Here is a 22,182-nt window from a genome sequence, read left to right as displayed (position 1 = left end):
ACACGGAAAAGGAGGAAACTGGAATGAACGCTGTGTGTTAGATTATAATTGGAGGGATGAACTAATGGTTTTCAATACTTATGGACAGATACAGAAATGAATATAGATATAATTGTGTGTGTACGTACATGTGTTGCTAGCTTTATCCACCAAGAAGGCCTGGATGCAATAACACCCCAACAGCAATGAGCGTGCCCAGCACTCAAATCTTGGTTTCTAAATACCATTCTCCCCTAAAAGCAACCAGGATTTCTTGGGAAAATGGCTGATTCCAGGGTTGAGGTAGGAAAAGCACAAGATAAACCTATAACATCTTTTGTGCCAGAGAGTGAGCATGTGCTCAAAAATCGAAGGAGATGAATTAAAAGGACAGAGGAGCCAGCTCTAAAGGGGTCCCGCTTGTTCTGACATAATTTGAACACCAAACTAGATAATAATAACATAACCTATTGGATAAAACAGAAAGCCATATAGATACTAATGAATGAATACATAAATGAGGAGAAGAAAAAATTTTCTTACAACAAAATGCCAACTAACAAACGTGGAAGAAATTATGGAATTAGAAAAGTTACCATTTGGTAATCATCATAGCTGTTAGTAATCAGTAATTTAGCCAAGAAGTATCAGTAGATGTTAATGCTGATGAGTGAAAGTTTGAACAGGCAGGAATATTTACGTGGTTTCGAGGTACTTCTTTACAAAACATTTGTTAAATACAAAGGGAAAAATAATAACTTTACGGTGGAGACACCTGGCAGATACCATTTTAGCCAAGTGACCAAAGTCACAGTCAAAGCATGATGTCCCATCACCAGTCATAGGATAAATCTATGTTGTGTTCTCCCTGATAGGATACAATGGAAAGAACACAGCCCAACTGCTATGATAGTCCTGCCAAAAATGCGTAACCTGAATCTAATCAAAAGGAAGCATCAGACAATCCTGTACTTGAGGAACATTCTACAAAATAACTGATCTGTGCTTTTCAAAAGCGTCAGGTCATACAAATCAAGAAAAGACAGAGAAACTGTTAGATTGAAGGAGACTGAAGAGATATGTCAACTAAATACAACTTGTGACCCAAGATGAGATCTTGTTGGTACAAAGGATGTTCCTGAGAAATTGCCTAAACATGAATGCAGGATTCTGTTGATTAGATGGTAGTAGTGTGTGAGTGTTAATTTCCTGATGTTGATGTTGCCTTGCTATGCAGGAGACTGTCCTTGTTGTAGGATGTACACCCTAAAGAATTTGAGATAATGGGCATCAGGCTGGTAATTAATTCTCAAGTGGTTCAGAAGGGGAAAGCATGCTATTTGTACTCTTCTTGCAATTTTCTTTTTAAAATTCTTTTTATTTTATAGAGACGAGGTCTCACTATGTTGCCTAGGCTGGACTCGAACTCCCAAGCTCAAGTCATCCTCCCACCTCAGCCTCCCGAAATGCAAGGATTACAGGGGTGAGCTACCTCACCCAGCCCAAATTTCTACAAGTATAAAATCATTTCAAAATTAAAATTATCTTTAGCTCTAAAAATATGAAATAATAGCAAAGAAACTGGTTAAAACATAGACATCTAAATATTGACTATGAAGCAATAATAATAATGTCTAATTTTAGGGATTAAAAAAGATAAAAGTGAAGACAACAATAGTATGTGTAAGTTAGATGGGTTATATAAGAATTAAAGCATTGTAAAGTCCTTAATTAAGAGAATGAATATATTGATTAAATTTAGATTTTGTTAATTTAAGTATACATATAAAAAAATCTATGGTTAACACAGAAAGAATAAACAAACAATAGGAAAAGGAAAAAAGAAAAGTTAGTTCAAATGAAGGCAAGAAAGGGGAAGGAAGGAAAAAGCAGAACCAAAATAAGATGGTCACAAGAAGTCCAGGCAGATGGAAACAAAAAGCAAACATGAGTGGTAATATGAGAGAAAGTGGAATTGAGGGTTAAAGCACTAACTAGAAAAAAATGGACATTACATAATGATAAAAGCCACCATTTATGAAAAAAATAGATCTGTGTCCACAAAACAGTGCCGCAGGTAGACATAAACAAAAGCTATTCTAAATGGTAGGAGACTGCAGCCTGACCAACATGGTGAAACCCTATCCTACTAAAAATACAAAAATTAGCCAGGCATGGTGACACATAAATCCCAGCTACTTAGGATGCTGAGGCAGGAGAATCACTTGAACCCAGGAGGCAGAGGTTGCAGTGAGCCGAGTTCGAGCCACTGCACTCCAGCCTGGTTGACAGAGCGAGACTCCATCTCAGAAAAAAAAAAAAAGAGAAGAAAAGAAAAAAGAAATGGTAGGAGACTTTGATTAAAATATAGATCCATGACCAGGCACAGTGGCTCACGCCTGTAATCCCAGCATTTTGGGAGGCCAAGGCAAGTGGATCACCTGAGGTCGGGAGTTCAAGACCAGACTAACCAACATGGTGGAACACTGTCTCTACTAAAAATACAAAAATTAGCCAGATGTGGTGGCGGGTGCCTGTAGTCCCAGCTACCTGGGAGGCTGAGGCATGAGAATAGCTTGAACCCAGGAGGCCAAGTTGCAGTGAGCCGAGATCACGCCACTGCACTCCAGCCTGGGCAACAGACTGAGACCCTATCTCGGGGAAAAAAAAAGATGCACACACGTATATGTATGTGTATATATTTATGTATGTGTACATGTATACACATATCAATATGTGTAAACACACATATACAAGTATAGTGGGAAATGTCAATATATACAATAAGATACACTAAAATCTTCATACTTAATAGAAATATATCTTTATATCACCTGAGTAGGGATTCATTTTTTCAAGTCCATGGAACACATTCCTGTTCTTAGCCATAAAGAAATCCTTGAGGATGTCTTTATTTATTTTTTATTTTTATTTTATTTTTTGAGACAGAGTCTCACTCTGTCGCCCAGGCTGGAGTGCAGTGGCATAATCCTGGTTCACTGCAACCTCCACCTCCCAGGTTCAAGCGATTCTCCTGCCTCAGCTCCCAAGTAGCTGGGATTACAGGCATGCACCACTACACCCATCTAATTTTTGTATTTTTAGTAAAGATGGGGTCTCGTCATTTTGGCCAGGCTGGTCTCAAACTCCTGACCTCGAGTGATCCGTGCCCCCACCCCCCTCGGCCTCCCAAGGTGCTGGGATTGCAGGCGTAAGCCACCGTGCCGGGCCGAGAATATTTTTTAAACAGGCTTTACCAGCAAATCCTCTAAACATAATCCAAAACAATTGGGAATAATTACTACAGAGATAACCCAAAAATGTTTACAACTTCAAAATTAAGAGACACATTCCTAGCTTACACCTAGCTCAAATAGGAAGTTTTACAACGGCATATTATCCTGCAAGTAATAATAATAATAATAATAATAAAGGACGTTTCATCCCGAAATCTGTGTGAATCCTCAAAAACCAATACTCACAGGAAATGTTAGCACTTTAAAATGCTTTCGTTATTAAAGTAGGAAGATGAGCCAAGCACATCAAAAGAACGAATATGTTGTATTCATCCTAAGAAATTAGGAAAGGAAAACGAAATTATTCAAAAGAAACCAAGAAGAGTAACTGAACCAACACAAAAGCCACACTGATGGAAGGGAGGAGTGGGTCTGCGCCGCGGATGGGCGCTGTGATCAGATGGCGTTTCCTGAAGATGCTGCTCAAGCTGGAGAATGTTCTAGAGAGAGGGTGCAGTGGGTGCAGGAAACTACAGCCTGCTGTCACGGCCAGGCAAGCCACACGCCCATGATGGGGGTCGAGAAGAGCCCCAGTGGGCAGCGTGGGGACTGGGTGGCCACTGGGAAAGGGAGGCTGCTGCAGAATCAGATTCCGTGGGACTCGGGTGAGATCCCTCAGAGGACGCCCTCAGAGCCACAGGTGTTGTTCAGCAGTCCCTGATTGGCACACAGACGGCTGCAGGTGTGGAACAGGCCACTTGCGGAAGCACAGGAATGGAGGCCGGTTGGTTCATCTGAGCAACAGGAGGGTGTGTGCCCGCCGGCACGTGGTCTCCAAAAACGCAGTGTCCTGGCCACAGTGAATCTGAGAAGCAACCATCATTTATGAAAAGGCATGGCTCTCTGGATGCACTTATCAGACATCCACATGCGTAAGTCCAGAAACCGTCAGTGTGAGCACAAAGGAAGACGAAGGACCACGACGCCAGCATCAACACGCCACGGCGAGCTGACAGAAAGGACGAGGGACAGAGGAACAAGGAACTCCCCCGTGACCCCGAGACCTGGGGGCCTCAGGCCTGCTGTGAGTGGGTTTGGCCCCTCCTGCGTGGGAGGCAGGGGCAGTCCCTGCTGCACGGGGTGAACACAAGGTGAGCGTGTTGGGTTGGTCTCCATTGAGGCTGCTCAGAAGGGAGTTCCATTCATTCTTCCCCGGTAACATCCACAGGGTCCTTCCGCATCAGCACACAGCTCCCCACTGCGTGGTCCTGTTCTTGAACTGATGGCCTAACATCAACAAAGCCTCTGAGCCCTGAGACCCTCCTCTGGCTGGGAGCCACGGTATCCATGGCAACCATGGCTGACACAGAGGACGATGCGGACATCGTGGGAAACAAAGCCACATCTGAGTGAAACGCGCAGAGGTGCGGGTACCGGGGTACAGCGCGTGTGGGGCGCCCCCACGTGGTCAAGCAGGATAGAGGCGCATGCGTGTCCCGCAGGGAGTGTGGAAAACTGGCCCAAGCTGGAGTGTCCAGAGGACCATGCCTAAGGAAATGATTTTGTCACATTGTCTCTCGCAGCGCCCTGGCTTCTGGCAGTGACCCTCTTCATCCTGTACCTGTGCTGGGACCCTCTTCCTCCCGTGCCTGTGCGGGACCCTCTTCCTCCCGTGCCTGTGCGGGACCCTCTTCCTCCCGTGTCTGTGCGGGACCCTCTTCATCCCGTGTCTGTGCGGGACCCTCTTCATCTCGTGCCTGTGTGGGACCCTCTTCATCCCGTGCCTCTGTCTGACCCTCTTCATCCCGTGTCTGTGTGGGACTCTCTATTCTGTTGGGCCCAGGGAACACAGGGATGAGTTAGGCTCAGCAGCCCCTTCTTTCTAGGAGTGTATATGACATCCGAGTGAGTGTGTCTAGCTGTTGGAGTTACACCATTCAACTAGTGATTTAATATAATATTTTATGGTAAAACAAAAGCATACTATCTGTAGAGTGGAATGAATAATTTACAGGAATTTTTAAGGTCAAACAGAGACTTTCAAGGACTTTTACACCCAGAAGGGTCATTTTCCACCCCTTTGTACCCCCAGGGACCCGTATTTCCCTCTTCCGTGTTGGGGATGCTTCGGTGCAAATGTTTGAAAAGTATGTCCTGGCTCTAGAATCAGAAAGATTCTGCCTTTGACATATGAATTTGGAGGAGCACAAATGTTCGTCCATAGCATCATTTAATCTCTCTAAGCCTATTTCTCATCAAAAAAGTGGTGATTTAAGTCTATATACCCACAAGGCAAAGAAACCCGAAATGCATTCCTAAACTTCTTAGGCCTCTCGGATTACAGCTGATACTCATCATTGGCAATAATTATATTCTGTAAGGTCCCCTCAAAGACTGAACTAGAACTAGTGGATACTGAATTATTGCTTTTAGGGAAACTTGGGGTCAGGGTCCTGTGAGCCTCTGGTCACATTTTTTTTTTTTTTTTTTTTTTTTTAGACAAAGTCTGGCTCTTTCGCCCAGGCTGGAGTGAAGTGGTGCGATCTCGGCTCACTGCAACCTCTGCCCTCCAGGTTCAAGTGATTCTCCTGCCTCACCGTCCCAAGTAGCTGGGATTATAGGTACACACCACCACGTCTGGCTAATTTTTGTATGTTTAGTAAAGACGGGGTTTTGCCATGTTGGCCAGGCTGGTCTCGAACTCCTGACCTCAGGTGATTCACCCACCTCGGCCTCCCAAAGTGCTAGGATTACAGGCGTGAGCCACCATGCCCAGCCTCTGGTCACATTTATTAGTCAATGAATAAACAATTCTCCTTTATGTGTGTTTCTGTTTAAATATACATCATTTTGTGTCTATTGCTGATTAATTATCTCATGCCTGCACGAAGTGTATCTAACACATGTGTTTTCTCCATGGGGCAGGTTCTTGTGCTTAGAACAACAGATAGCACTTTAGTGCTATTCTGGAGCCAGGGCCATTTTAAACAAAATCACCTAGAAGAAACATGAAAATGCAAAACCATAGCACCAAATAGACTTCGAAAAAATGTGTTTATGACATAAGAGCTGAAGCAAGATGGCAGTTCCTTGTTCAGCCTCAACTGGGAACATACATTCAAAGCATTTTTTTTTTTTTTTTTTTTTGGCCACTGGGCCTGTCCATAAATGAACTCAAAAGGCCCTGACTGGCCGGGCGCGGTGGCTCACGCCTGTAATCCCAGCACTTTGGGAGGCCAAGGAGGGTGGATCACAGGGTCAGGAGATCAAGACCATCCTAGCTAACACAGTGAAACCCCATCTCTACTAAAAATACAAAAACAAAATCAGCTGGGTGCGGTGGCACACGCCTGTAGTCCCAGCTACTCGGGAGGCTGAGGCGGGAGAATGTCGTGAACTCAGGAGGCTGAGCTTGCGGTGAGCCAAGATCACGCCACTGCACTCCAGCCTGGGCAACAGAGCAAGATTCTGTCTCAGATTAAAAAAAAAAAAAGGCCCTGAGTGCTGATTTTGGATTTACAAATACATTTAAGCAAGTTGGCAAATTTGCAAATACAGAATCTGCATATAATGAGGGTGAGGATGAGCTGTCTGTGCAGCTCGGGTCCCTGTGACCCTGTGACTGGCTGTCATCTGTTTGGGTCACTGAACATTTTGCAGTTGTTGGATGTGGGGGCATGAGGGTGGTCTCATGGGGCTCAATCTGCCCCAGCCTCCTCTCAGTCTTGGCAAAGCCATGCTGGAACACTGAGAACTCGATTTTTCTTTTCTCTGAAAAAAATATTTCTACATTGGGGTGATCTTCAATCGCAGGTCTTCACTCTGCTATTTTCTCTCCAATGAGAAAAAAACGAAGTTCACCACTGGGGCCTGTGGCCATTCGTGGACCAGGGATATTGGTCCCCAATGCCTTGGAGAATCGTGGGTCTCCGATCAGGGCAGAGAGAGCATGCCAGCCATGTCCCTGCCCCCCACTCACCCACCCCCTGCCCAAGCTCCGGTCATCACTGCTCTCTGAGGGTGGCTGAGGCCCAGAGCTTCTTCTAAACAGCCCATTGTTCCTTCTTGCTTCTGGGACCCTCCTCTGCTAATTCCTCACAGCAGCACCAGCTACAAAATGTGTGGGTTCCGGTGCAAAATGAAAACACAGGCCTTTTATTCAGAAGTAGTATCAAGTTGGTGGTTGGAAAGCATTGGAACAAGCTTGGGCCCTTCTTAAGTGGCCGCACAGACCCATGAAGCCTGCCCTGCCTCAGAGCCCCAGGTCCTTTTCCTCCCCTCCTCCCACACCATCCTGGTGGTCCTTGCTGCCTTAGGCAGAGCCACGTGTCCATTTTGCGGGGCAGTGGCCCAGCTCTACCTACTAACGGCATTCCTGGCAGGAGGAGAACTATGAGTACTGGCCCAGTGGGCATAGCCCCAAAAAGGAGCTTAACCCATGATCTGGCCAAGTGCATCCACAGAGAGACTTGGGGTGGTCCCATGGGGCTCATGACTAAAGCTGTGCTCAAGGAGTCAGCCAGGTGGGGAAGGAGCATCCACGCAGTGCTGAAAACCCTGTGCAGGGTGCCTCAGGGTGAAGGGAGGTGGATTCGGCCAACAGATGTGTTGAGCTCTATGCATCTGCTGGTGCTGTCCATGGAGCTGGTAACTCAAAGATCAATAAGACATAGTCCCCTTAGAGGAACAGGAAGTCATTGGGAGGCACAAACCCATAAATGAATGATTACAACAAAATGTAATAATATCAACATGGAAGTGTGTACAGGAGGGGGTTCTGACTCCCTCCCTTCCCTCCCCATCCTGCCCTGGCCCCCAGAGGCCACTCCGCAGGTGGCAGATGGTGGACTTCTCAGCCTCCATAATTGCGTGAACCAATTCCCATAATAAATCTCCTCTTATGTCTCTATGTAGCCTATGGGTTCTGTTTCTCTGGAAAACTCTAATATGCCTCTGATACTCTATTTCTTTCAATCCTGAGCAGGAGCTGTTGGCTACAATGAAGTTTCCTCAGACATATACATGTGTGACTGTCACTGTAACCCATCACTCGCAGGGCTCCATGTGGCCCAGTCACTGCTTGATGTAGGACTGAAGGAAATGGCAGCTGGAATCCAGAAGCCACAATGATTCACAGAGAGCTTTGCCTAGAAGGCTACCCATAAATCCAGTGTAGGCTTCTCTTCCCCATCTCAAAGTTTCCCAGGCACAGAAGTTGCTGAAATCTCTCCACCTCTCCCCTCATTGATATCCCCCACCAACCAGGGGGAACCCCAAACCTTTCTGCAGCCAAAAATGACTCGGCCAGGCACGGTGGCTCACACCTGTAATCCCAGCACTTTGGGAGACCGAGGCGGGCAGATCACCTGAGGTTGGCATTTGAGACCAACCTGGCCAACATGGCGAAACCCCATCTCTACTAAAAATGAAAAAAAAAGATTAGCTGGGCCTGGTGGTGGGCACCTGTAATCCGAGCTACTCAGGAGGCTGAGGCATGAGAATTGCTTGAACCCAGGAGGTGGGAGTTGCAGTGAGGCAAGATCGTGCCGCCGCACTCCAGCCTGGGCACCAGAGTGACACTCTGTCTCAAAAAAAACTCTCGAGACATCTTTTCACAGGAACTGGACTGAGGACCTCATTGCCACCCATGGGACCCCAGGGAGCACGTAGTTCTCTCTCTGCTTTTCTTATGAGGATCGATGGTGGAGTTTCCGGTGAATGAAACTCTCTACCTGTTGCATCCACGTCAAAATAGGTAAGACAAAGAGGTGTTGCCTTGAGCCATGCGATTGGGCTGTTTTTGGATGATGGGACTATGAGTGAGTTTTCCCCTTCCGCTTTTTACCTCTCTGTACTTTCCATGTTTCCACCAGGGAGTGCCTTATTACAAAAATGATCAGAACTAGAAGACAAAAAAATAATCAAAAGGGAAATAATTAGGCTTGAATTGACATGTAAGATCCTATTATTGGCAATCAGGGATCAGGCTGGGAGTTCAGCTGGTGGGTGGCCATTCTTCGGTGCAACAACTATTTATTGGATGCCTTAACGAGGTGCGGGAGAGCTTGGGGTGAGAATGGACGAGATCTCTGTCTCGTGGAGCTTCCCTACCCGAGGCGCAGGCGGCCACCAGCCAAACTCCCAGACAGATGGAGGCGCCGCCCCACTGGGATTCCTCAACCAGGCGGTGAGTGTGGAATACGGGACCCAGCCTGGGGTAGGGCTCAGAGGCAGGAAGCATGGGAGGAAAGGGTGGGGAGGATGAAACACACAAATCCCAATCAAATACAGCAAAATGTTTGCAGTTGTCAAATCTGGGCTGTGAATTCTCTGCACTCTTCTATATGTTCAGATTCTTTTGCTTAGATTAAAAAGTGGGTGTGAGGTGATAGAATGGAGACAGCAGGAGCGGACGGCTCTGCTGAGGAGTTTGGCACTGAAAGGGAACCGAGAAATGGGTTGTGGCTGGAAAGGGTGGTCAAGGGAAAGACTGGAGTATTTTTTGTTTTGTTTTGTTTTTAATATTTTGTTTTGAGGTAGCAGAGGGGGAGAGACTGATACTGAGCGGGAGAGGAGGTCTGAGAGAAATGCTTCCTGCATTGTAACCTCAGAGGCATTCAAACCAGAGCAACTCCATCTTGAGTAGGGGCTGGGTAAAATGAGACTGAGACCTACTGGGCGGCATTCCCAGGAAGTTTGGTATTCTAAGTCCCAGGATGAGATAGGAGGTTGGCACAAGATACAGATCACGAAGACCTTGCTGATTAAACAGTTTGAGGCAAAGAACTCAGCCAAATCCCACCATAACCAAGTTGGTGACAGAGTGACCTCTGGTTGTCCTCACTGCTCATTATATGCTAATTATAATACATTAGCATGCTAAGAGACACTCCACCAGCGCCATGACCGTTTACAAATGCCATGGCAACATTCAGGAGTTACTCTTTATGGTCTGAAGAGGGGAGGAACCCTCAGTTCCAGGAATTGCCCACCCCTTTCCTGGAAAACTCATGAACAATCCACCCCTTGTTTAGCATATAATCAAGAAATAACTATAAGTGTAATCAGTGAGCAGCCCATACCGCTGTTCTGCCACTGGAGTAACCACTCTTTTATTCCTTTACTTTCCTAATAAACTTGCTTTCACTTTGTCAGACCTCTGAGCCTAAGCTAAGCCATCATACCCCCAGTGACCTGCACTTATACATCCAGATGGCCTGAAGCAACTGAAGACCCACAGAAGTGAAAATAGCCTTAACTGATGGCATTCCACCATTGTGATTTGTTTCTGCTCCACCCTAACTGATCAACATACTTTGTAATCTCCCCCACCCTTAAGAAGGTTCTTTATAATCTCCCCCACCCTTAAGAAGTTTCTTTGTAATTCTCCCCACCCTTGAGAATGTACTTTGTGAGATCCACCCCCTACCACCAAAACATTGCTCTTAACTCCACCACCTATCCCAAAACCTATAAGAGCTAATGATAATCCCACCACCCTTTGCTGACTCCTTTTTTGGACTCAGCCCGCCTGCACCCAGGTGAAATAAACAGCCATGTTGCTCACACAAAGCCTGTTTGGTGGTCTCTTCACACGGACACGTGAAACACACTTTACAGACTTACCTCAATTTTTTTCTCATGTGAGGTCCAAGAACCCTCTCTTAGGATCTGGATCGGGACCCCTTTCTGGTAACAGTAGCAGTGGGGAAGGTGAGTATTTGAATTGGGCGCACACTTTGATGAGACTCTTGCCACCCTGCAGCCCAATGCCCCTTTAAAAACAGTATTTCTCTACAGTGGCATTCAGACATTTATAAGAGCCCTTTGGTGGTTGCCATGATTGTGTCTGGCATTTGGTGGCACAGCCAGAGCAACAGGTGCCCCCATTGTCCAGGACAGCCCCTCACTGCAACACTCAGCTTCCTGCCACCTTGCAAATGTTCTGTGGGACACTTATATGGTGCAAAGCCTGAACAATTGTTTGTGCCTAGAAATAGGAAAGATTTGTGTCTATTTTCCATAGAAAACCAAAGTTCTTTTTTTCTCTTTCCTTTTCTTTTTTTTTTTTTTTTTTTTAAGACAGGATCTTGTTCTGTTATCCAGGCTGAAGTGCAGTGGCATGATCATAGCTCCTTGCAGCCTCAACCTCCCAGGCTTAAGAGATTCTCCCACCTCAGCCTCCCAAGTAGCTAGAACTACAGGCACACACCACCATGCCAGGCTAATTTTTAATTTTTTTTGGTAGAGACAGGGTCTCACTATGTTGCCCAGGCTGGTCTTGAACTCCTGGACACAAGCAATCCTCCTACCTTGGCCTCCCAAAGTGCTGGGATTACAGGCATGAGCCACAACTTCCAGTAATTGTTTTGGTTTTTGTAGAGATGAAGTCTCACTAAGTTGCCAGGTCTGGTCTCGAACTCCTGGCCTAAAGCTATCCTCCTGCCTTGACCTCCCAGTGTACTGGAATTACAGACGCAAGCCACCATCCCCCACCCAAAACCAAAGTTTCTTCTGTGTATATTTAACACACACTAGATAATACTTGCTCCTAGTCTCTTAAAAGAATTCTCCAGGACTGTCTGGCACATGTTTTCAAGGGACAGCTGCAGAGGCCAATGGATGGAAGCCAGCATCAGTGGTGTTGTTCTCAGCACCGTGAGGCTCTGCCATGGTGAACGATTCTTGGAGAAGTCCCCAAAAAACAAAGAGCCATCTCCCTTGGTTTGTGTGGCAGCTGCATTTCTGGAAAATCCAGTGTCACATCCCTGTGCCTGTGGGATCTGGAGCTGCCACGTGCATGCTCTTTATTTTGTGCCCTGGATGTCTGTGGGCACACAGGAGATTTAAAAATAAAGAATTACTTTTAAACAGAAATAGTTCTGTTTGTTTTCTTTCTGTAGATGCATTTAGATTTTCGAGTGAACATTAAATATGCATATGAAAAAGGGAGTTTTTAGCAAGTGGAATTCCATTCGGGTTTTATAATGATGACATGGGAGCAAGATGCAAAATTTAAGGAGGTTTTTTAAGGATACCTTGTCCTTGCTAAGAGCAAGAGTTTCCTAAATGTTATGCCTTAGAAGCCTCTCTCTGGCCCTGCATAAAGGTTTACCTTTGTTAGTCTCTGACGGCAATGAAATGGAATGACTCTATGGACAAATCTGGGAACAACCTTACATCTGCAGCACTGCCTGGGATGCTGTGTGTGTGTCCCTCTGTGCCCAGGGGTAAACACAGCATCCAGTCTGTTTTGCTAAGAAGTTAATTTGGCAAGGTTGCTGGATACAAGTTCAATATACAAAAATCAATTGTATACCTAATCTAGCAAGGATGAATTAGGAAATGAAAAATTTTTCATCAAGCATGTGAAGTACTTTGGGGATAAAATTAATAAAATATGTGCAATACTTGTAAATTGAAAACTTCAAAGCATTCCTGAGAGAAATTAAAGACCTAAATAGATGGAGGGATATACCCTGTTCATGGATTGGAAAACTCAATATCATTAAGATATTGGTTTTACTCAAGTTGAGCTGAGGTTTAATGCAATCCCAATTAAAAGCCCAGTAGATTTTTTAATAAAAATTTATAAGGTGATTCTAAAATTTATATGGAGACAGAAAAGTCCTAGAAGAGCAAAAATAACTTTGAAAAAGATGAGAAAATGTGGAAAACCTAAAATAACATAAAAACAAATTTTTATTTTGTTATATATATAACATTTCAATGAGAAGACTTACTGTAAAGCTACAGTAGGCCAGGCACGGTGGCTCATGCCTGTAATCCCAGCACTTTGGGAAGCCGAGGTGGGGGGATTACCTGAGGTCAGGAGTTCGAGACCAGCCTGGCCGCCATAGTGAAACCCCGTCTCTACTAAAAATATAAAAATTAGCCAGGCATGGTGGCGGGCACCTGTAATCCCAGCTACTTGGGAGGCTGAGGCAAAATAATTGCTGGAACCCGGGTGGCAGAGGTTGCAGTGAGCCAAGATCACACCACTGCACTCCAGCCTGGGTGACAGAGCGAGACTCCATCAAAAAAAAAAAAAAACAAAAAACTACAGTAATCAAGGCAAGTAATATTGCTATAAGAGTTAACATATATTTGTGGAACAGAATAGAGAATCCAGAAACAGACCCACACATACATGGTCTGTTGATGTTTTACAAAACTGCCAAAATAATCCAATGAGGAAAGGATAGTCTATTCAGTAAAGTACTGAAACAACTATATATGGAAATGACCATTTCCTCATATGGTACACAAAAATGAATTTGAAAAACATCATAGGCCTAAACATAAAAACTAAAACTATAAAACTTCTAGACGGAAACAGGAGAAAATCTTCACAACCCTGTGGTAAGCAAAGATTTCTTAGGAAGCCCAAATCATGAGCCAATAAATTTTCAATAAATTAAACCTTGAGGAAATTTAAAATTTCTCCTTTTCAAAAGACCCTGCTAAAAAGGAAATTAAACAGCAAGCCACAGGCCAGAAAAAAAAAATTATTTACAATGCATCTATCTGCTAAAAGACTGGTGGTATACAGAATGTAAAGAACCCTTACGACTCAATTTGAAGACAACCCGATTTTTAGAAATGTGTAAAAAGTTCAAAGATATTTCACAGAAGAAGATATACAAATGGCCAGTAAGTGCATACATAGAAGTTTAATATCATTGGTTATCATACACATTTAAATTAAAACCCTAGGCTGGGCATGGTGGCTCATACATGTAATCTCAGCACTTTGGGAGGCCAAGGTGGGGGGATCACTTGAGCCTAGGAGTTTGAGACAAGCCTGGGCAACATAGCAAGACCCCATCTCTACAAAAAATGAAAAAATTAATTGGGCATGCTAGTGCATGCCTGAAATGTCATCAACTTGGAGGCTGAGGTGAGAGAAATGCTTGAGCCCAGGAGATCAAGGCTGCCATGGTCGTGCCACTGCACTCCAGCCAGGGCAACAGGACGATAACTTGTCTCAAAAAAAAAAAAAAATCACTGACACTACTAGAATTGTTTAAATTTAAAAGACTGATAATTTCAAGTGTTGACAAGAAGGAATTGGAGCTCTCACACATTCCTGGAGCAAATGCAGAATTGCACAGCCACTTTGGAAATAATTTGGCATTGTCTTATAAATGTAAACATATCCTTACCCATGCAAACCAGAATCACACTCCTAGGTATTTACTCAAGAAAAATAAAAACATATATCTCCACAGAAATGTGTACTTAAATGTGCATAGTAGCTTTATTCTCAATAACCAAAACATGGATAAATCTCACAGATGTTACACTGAGCAAAAGGAACTAGACACAAATGGCTACACAAAGTATGATTTACATTTACATGAAATTCCAAAAAGGCTAAAAACTAATGTATGGTGACAGAAAGCATTGATGATCAGCCAGGACCAGGGAAGTGGTGATGAAGGTGGTGGTTACACAGGTATATATGTTGGTCAAAGCCAAAGCCCATTGAACCGCACACTTAAAATAGGTGCATTCTATTGTGTGCAACTTATAGCTCAATAAAGTTGATTTTACAGAATTTTATATACTTACTATTCTTCTATAACAAGCCCAGACACAGTTCCTATCTCATGCTCACAGTCATTAACTCTAAAGTGAGAATTTAGAAAAACACTTGATTGAGTTGTGAAACAAGATCAAAATGAAAGATGTGGATGGGCCTGAAAAATGGTAACAGAAGACACAAATGTTAGTTACAGTTGGTTTCTATAAATACAAGATAATAAAAAAGAATATGGCCAAGCGTGGTGGCTCACACCTGTCATCTCATTACTTTGGGAGGCTGAGGCAGGTGATTCACTTGAGGTTGGGAGATCGAGATCAGCCTGACCAACATGGAGAAACCTCATCTTTACTAAAAATGCAAAATTAGCCAGGCATGGTGGTGCATGTCTATAATCCCAGCTACTCAGGAGGCTGAGGCAGGAGAATTGCTTGAACCCAGGAGGTGGAGGTTGTAGTGAGCCAAGATCACACCATTGCACTCCAGCCTGGGCAACAAGAGTGAGACTCCATCTCAAAAAAACCAAAAACAAACAAACAAAAACCACACACAAAAGCAAATAAAAAACAATATAAGTCACTGCTATGGCTTGAATATTTGTGTTCCCTCCAAAATTCATGTTGAAACTTAGTCCTCAATGCAAAAGTATTAAGAAGTGCGGTCTCTAGGAGGTGACTGAGTTAGGAGGACACCACCCTCATGAATGGAATCGGAGCTGGTCTGAAAGACTTGTTGGAAGGGGTTCATCTCTCTCTTGCCTCTCTGTCCCTTCTGCCATGCGAGGACACAGCCTTTGTCCCTCTGCAGAATGCAGCAACAAAGTGCCATCTTGGAAGCAGAGAACAGCCCTCACCAGGTACTGACTCTGCTGGCGCCTTGATCTTGAACTTCCCAGCCTCCAGAACTGTGAGAAATAAATTCTGGGTATTTTTAAATAAATTACCAGGTCTCAGGTATTTTGTTATAGCAGCATAAATGGACTAAGACACACACCATCAGGAATAATGTTACTTAGAAGTCACTGTTAATAAATTTGCTATGATTTGCTAAGATAGGAGTTGATGTTGGTGAACAAGCCTTGTGGAAGACGTTGGATTGCAGAGCGGGTGAGGTGAGTGGAGAGGAGAGAGGTGAGGAGGGAGCCCTGTGCCCTTGCTGGGAGGACAAGAAGAGCCATGGGGAAGCAGGTGCAGAACAGGAGAAGCTGCTGGTGGTGCCTTGCCCAGATACTCTGAGCTGGAGAGGACTGCAGTCATCTAGGAGATTCCTCCCTGGAAGTGCCTGGGCCGTCACAGCATCCCTCAGAGGGCAGCCTAAAGCCAGTGTCATCCCATGCAGGGCACAAAATCTCCACCTCCTTGCCTGTCTTTGGGAACGGCTCCCCAGTGGGATGAGGCTGAGGCCAGCAGACTGTGGCGGAAACACAATGTCTGCTGAGCCTCCTCCTGTCTTCCTCCTGCCTCCTCCACTTCCCTTCCCCTGAGAGCCCCTCTCAATAAACCTTGCTCCAAAATCATCATCTTGGCCAGGTGTGGTGGCTCATGCCTGTAATCCCAACACTTCGGGAGGCCAAGGCGGGTGGATCACTTGAGCTCAGGAGTTCGAGACTAGCCTGGTCAACATGGAGGAACCGTGTCTCTACTAAAAATACAAAAATTAACCAGCTTTGGTGGTGCGTGCCTGTAATCTCAGCTACTCCGGAGCCTGAGGTGGGTGGATCCTTTGAACCCGGGAGGCGGAGCTTGCAGTGAGCCAAGATCATGCCACTGCACTCCAGCCTGGGAGACAGAGTGAGATTCTGTCTCAAAAAAAAAAAAAAAAATTCCCCGTTCCAGGCTCCACCTCTAGGGAATCTGACCTAGGACACCAGGGAACCCACTCTGGAGAGCCGAGGAAAAAACCAGGACAAAGCCGAGGTCTAAGGAGAAGAGTGTGTCTAGGAGAAAGGGTTCGTGGCCTCTGAGGCCATGGGCAGGGAAGAACGGCAGCGTGGCTCCTCCCCCGCTGAGCCCCCAACTCACTGTGCGTCCTCAGCTCTCACACCTGCCAGGCCTGTCATCCCCTGCAGGATGAAGCCTGGTGTCCATGGCTTGCCCTTAGCACCTCCCACAACATTGTAAGCCTTGTAGCTCCTTCCTATGGGCTGCTGGATCCACACAGCCCTGAACGTCACAGCCAGCCTCCCCGACTCAAACCCCACGGAAGCTCAGGGTTCGTTCAATTCCTGAATCCTGCATGGAGCCCTGCCTGCTCCCTCCCTGTCACCTCAGCCTCACATCCTCTCCTCTCACTGCCATCGAGGGAGCCCTTTGAGGCCACCTTTCCATTTCTGAGCCATTCCCCCTAAGCCTCACGAGGGCAAGGAATGTGTCTGAATAACAACAGCTTCCATTTATCAAGGGCTTGCTATATGCCAAGCCCTGTGCTAGCGCTTGACGTGGGCAGCAGGGTCTCCCACTCGAGACTGACTGAGGCACCAAGACACCAGATCTCAGACAGCAGAGCGAGGAGTGAGACGGGGCTCCCTACTGGCTGTCAGGGCAGGGTGGCCAAAAGGAGGTGTCACGACTTTTCAAGGGCTAGAATCTAAAAGGATCAGGGCAGGGCGGGTATTTGAAAAAGGATTTATTTAGAGAGAACTGGAAGTCCCACCTCCCCCAAGTTGGGTGAGGGTAAGGGGGTGTCTGCCTCATAACTCCAGCTTGGAGAGCCTGGACATCCCAAAGAGCCTGCTGGAGGACCCCACAGTTAGAGGCACAGTGATGAGTCGAGAGACCAGGGCTGGCTCACCCATTTTAAAGCATGGTCCCGCCCACAGGCCATAGTTTGACCAGGCGGAGGCAGATGAGGGCTGCAGTGCCAGCCGGTGCAGGCCAGCGGGCCACCTAGAAGGACAAACAGCCTCAGCAGAGGGGGGTAGGAGGCGGGCTGCTTGGAGGAAGTGAACTCAGGAACAAAGCCTCTGCCCAGAGCGCAGGGTCTGCCATCAAGGAACCCCTGCCTTGAGGGTCTCCAAACTGGCCAAGTCCCAAGAGAGGAGGTGACAGCTGTGAACTCTGGCAGACACCAAACACAGAACCACATGAGGACAGTGTCAGCCACGCAGACCTTTCCTGCCCCAATGGCTCCTCCTGGAGCCTGCCCCTCCCCTTCAGAGGGGACGAAAAAGGAGATCAGAGAGAAGGAAGATGCCACCTAGATGCTCCCCAGCCCCTGCTGCCTGTCCGAGATGCCTTGGCTTGGAATGGGGAAGAATGTGTGGACTAACACATTGAACTGGAAGCCTTGAATTTCTGAATCGAGACTTTATTTTGATGCTTTTGGTTTTGTTTTTGTTTTGAGACTGGGTGTCACTCTGTCACCCAGGCTGGAGTGCAGTGGCTTGAACTCCTAGGCTCAAGCGATCCTCCAGCCTCGGCCTCCCGAGTAGCTGGGATTACAGACATGCAACATCATGTCTGTATTTTTTTGTAGAGACAGGGTTTCACCATGTTGCCCATGCTGGTCTCAAACTCCCAGACTCAAGCGATCCACCCACCTTGGCCTCCCAAAGTGCTGGGATTATAGGCGTGAGGCACCGCGCCCGGCCAAGAAACTATTTTGGACTTAAAGTGACTACAGGACATTTCTCCCCTGAGGGTAATTGAAAAAGTCATAGGAGCACCCACGTTTCCTTTTCTATCTTGGTTCACGCAACCTCCAACTCCCTGGTTCAAGTGATTGTCCTGCCTCAGCCTCCTGAGTAACTGGGATTACAGGTACGGGCCACAATGCCTGGCTAATTTTTTGTGTATTTTTAGTAGAGGCGGGGTTTCACCATGTTGGCCAGTAGGCTCTCGATCTCCTGACTTCGTGATCCGCCCACCTCAGCCTCCCAAAATGCTGGGATTACAGGCATGAGCCACAGCGCCCGGCCTAGGAGCACCCACATCTTCATCTCTCACTGTACTGAGTTGAACAACAGCCCCCACAAATTCGTGTCCACCCAGAACTTCAATATGTGACTTTACTTGAAAATAAAGTCTTCGAAGATGTAACCCAGTTAAGATTAGGTCATACTGGATTCATGTGGACCCTAAATCCAAGGGACTTACTAGGGTCCTTATAAGAGGAGGGAAACTTGGGCACAGACACACTCATAGAGGGAAGATGACAAGAGGATGCAAAGGCAAGGGAGGAAGTCCCTGGGATGACAGAGGGAACGGGAGTGACGCGTCTACAAGACAAAGAACGCAGGCAATGATCAGAAGATGGACAGGCCAGGAAGGGTCCCCCAGCACCTTTGAAGAGAGTATGGCCCTGCCGACACCCTGATTGCAGACTTCTGGCCCCCGGGACTGTGTGTGAGTTTCTGTTGTTTCACACTGTCTGGTTTGTGGCACTTTTTTCCAGCAACCACAGGACACTCATTCACCCTCTGCAGGAATTCAAGTGGGGCACTGGGGGGCAAAAAGAAAGACACTTTCTGATACCATCCCAGCTGGCTTGTTCTGCAACCCAGCCAACATCTAGGCTCTCATCTCCATGTCCGAATCCCCGAGATGTCGCTGTGCCCGCTCGGCGGGGAGAAATCAGAGTGTCGGACTGACTTGCCCGTGGTTATTCATCTAGTGCCTGGTGCAAGAGGCCAAGTGCGAAACCCGTATCTACAGCATTCTAAACAGCCTGGTCCCTCCCAGTTCTCTTTCCCACACATGTGTCAGGGACACATGTGACAACACTGCCAGCCCCTATTCCTCTGCTGAGGACCGGTCTCCAGTGTCCCATGATACTCCCTACATTCGAATTCAGTGTATCGATCTGTTTAAATCTACTATCCTGAGGCTTAAACAAAAGCCTTCAAATCTAATTAAAACCTCACCAACCACAAAGCTGGTGCTACTCCTGGGAAATATCCCTCTCGGCGTTCCTAAGACTACGTTCTCTTCACCCATTTCGCGGGTCACTGTGTCTCCAGTTCCTTTTTTCCATTCATTCGTGCTGTTTTTCTATGTGTTTTGAACTCCAAGTCTAGTGTGCCCAAGATAATCAGCCACCCGGGAGACTCTTCCAACTACCTCTTTGGGCCTGGCCTTGCCAAGAAACATTGAACGCGGCTCACCAATACCAGCAATTGCTGAATGGGAAACGTCACCCGCAGTCTGGCTCATTGAGATGCTGGGTACAGCCTCTTGATGGGGTTGTTAGAAATTCCAAGTCAGAAGTCAGTCTGTCAGTCACATTGTTAATGTCCAGAGCAAATGAAAATGAAGCTGAACTTCACAGCAAAGTTACAAATCACACTTTTTCTATTTCAGTCTGTACTAACTTTATTTCCTTCACAGATACCAATGATTTGGATTCTGTCTATTTCTTTCTTGTTTTATGTTATTTTATTATTAATGTTCATAAAGTGTTTTGTTTACAGATTACAAAGAGCTTTTCCAGATGATAGGGCCATCCTCATTTTGTAGAAAAGGCTCATGCAACTACTGATTGGGAAGCCAAACTTCCCGAAACCTCTGGGCTCTCATCTTCAACTCAGCGCTTTCTCCCCTGCATTGCTTTCTGCTGGAGCTAATGAAAGAAACTTGGTAGAAAAAGAACTTCTAGAGTCCATTTGTTGGAATCACTTTGGAAAACTGGGCTGAATCTATGAACCGCAAGATTCCCCACATCAGAGGCTGGTAATATGATCCGAGGATAATTCCTCCAGTTTCCCAAAAGAGTGGGACTGTGAAGAGAATCCCTGGTGACGTCGTAGCTTCTCCCCAGCCAAATGAACAGGGACACAGGAGCAGTCTTGAGCACTGTGTTTGCATTCCATCCCAGACCCCCACCAGAGTCTCTGCTCTCAGGAGAGTACACCAGAAATCTGGATTTCCCCAGAAATCTGGATCTTCCCACTTCTTTTTTTTTTTTTTCTTTGAGATAGAGTCTCGCTCTGTCACCCAGGCTGGAGTGCAATGGTGCAATCTCAGCTCACTGCAACCTCCACCCCCCAGGTTCAAGCAATTCTCCTGCCTCAGTCTCCCAAGTAGCTGGGATTACAGGTGCATGCCACCACACCCGGCTAATTTTTTTTATTTTTAGTAGAGACGGACTTTCACCATGTTGGCCAGGCTGGTCTCGAACTCCTGACCTCTGGTGATCCGCCTGCCTCGGCCTCCCAAAGTGCTGGGATTACAGATATGAGCCACTGCGCCTGGCCAGGACCTCCCCAATTCTGCTGTTAACTCGCTGTGAGGAGCAGAACTGTGCCCATCTCAAAATTCATATGTTGAAGTCCCAAGCCTAGTCCCTCAGAATGTGACTGTATTTGGAGATAGGAGCTCTAATCAGGCAATCAAGTTAAATGAGGCCATTAGGATGAGTCCTAATCCAATGTGACTGGGGTTCTTATAAGCAGAGGAAATGTGGAGCCACAGAGACACCAGGGAGGTGCTTGCACAGAGAAATGGCCAAGTGAGTGATGCAGGACAGGAAAGCCTCAGAATTGGGGCTTAGCCTGGGACAGTGCTTGGCTTCACACAGGAGAGAATTCAAGGGGAGCTGATGTTCTGCCCCTTGCAGAGCAGGCCTGACTCACGGGCAGTGTGCCCAGAGTAAGCGTTGTATGGGCTCTTGGCAACTGTATTTATGTTCACATAAGCCCAATTTCAATTGCATGCAAATTAAGGGGTGGTTCAATGTAAATTGAAGGCTGGGTAGGAAAGGCGCAGTAATTTCCCGGTCATTGTAGAATGACTTGGGCATTTGTAAATTGTCATGGTGCTTGTGGGAGTGTCTTATGCTAATGAGCCCTGAGGGCAGCCAGAGATTGCTTTTGCAACCATCTATTGGTTTGGGCCAGTTGGTTTCGGTTTTTTACTTTATCTTTCTGGACCAGATCCTATTTTGGTCAGCAGGGTTGTGACCAGAAAACAAGTCCTGCTGGTCTCCTACTTCATTAGGACACAGCAAGAAGGCAGCATCTGGAAACCAAGAAGAAAATTCTCAGAAGAAATCAAACTGCCAACACCTTGATCTTGGGCTTCCAGCCTCCAGAACGGTAAGAAAATTAATTTCTGTTGTTTAAGTCCTGCAGTCTGTGATATTTTGTTATGGCAGCCTGAGCTGACCCATACACTTGCTGACTCAGGTCATTTGACTTTCTGTGGCATCAGGTTTCCCATCCATAGGGATGGGCTCTGGCCCTCTCGACCTTGCAGGATCAATGTTGAAGGTCCGCTGGGGTCGTGAACACAAAAGCCTGTAAGACACAGAACACCAAAACCTGGGAGACGTGAAGAGTGTGTTGTCCATGGTGCCATGTCACAGGGTGGGGCTGAAGAAGATCTGGAATCAAGCACCGTTAGAGTGTCTGCTTCTGGTTTGAAATGAGCCCCCAACACCACTGTTGGCTCAAAGTAGAGGGGGGCACCCACTGATACAATCTTTCAG

The 22,182-nt window shown here is 46.3% G+C and overlaps 2 annotated features.

Moving 5' to 3' along the window:
- Nucleotides 4,174-4,675: an enhancer, noted in NCBI's record as "H3K4me1 hESC enhancer chr11:64257463-64257964 (GRCh37/hg19 assembly coordinates)". NCBI's record gives its function as "activates a minimal SCP1, AML or CMV promoter by ChIP-STARR-seq in naive H9 embryonic stem cells {active_cell/tissue: H9 hESC(naive)}" and the evidence as "EXISTENCE:reporter gene assay evidence [ECO:0000049][PMID:30033119]".
- Nucleotides 21,060-21,800: a transcriptional cis regulatory region, noted in NCBI's record as "candidate enhancer chr11.3159 targeted for multiplex CRISPR interference". NCBI's record gives its function as "positively regulates ATG2A gene expression in K562 cells {active_cell/tissue: K562}" and the evidence as "EXISTENCE:mutant phenotype evidence [ECO:0000015][PMID:30612741]".

The sequence above is a fragment of the Homo sapiens genome, chromosome 11 (assembly GCF_000001405.40).
Source record: "Homo sapiens chromosome 11, GRCh38.p14 Primary Assembly".
In the NCBI taxonomy this organism is placed as follows: domain Eukaryota; kingdom Metazoa; phylum Chordata; class Mammalia; order Primates; family Hominidae; genus Homo; species Homo sapiens.
The sequence above is the reverse complement of the archived record's forward strand: the minus strand, read 5'-3'. Positions and strand labels throughout refer to the sequence as shown.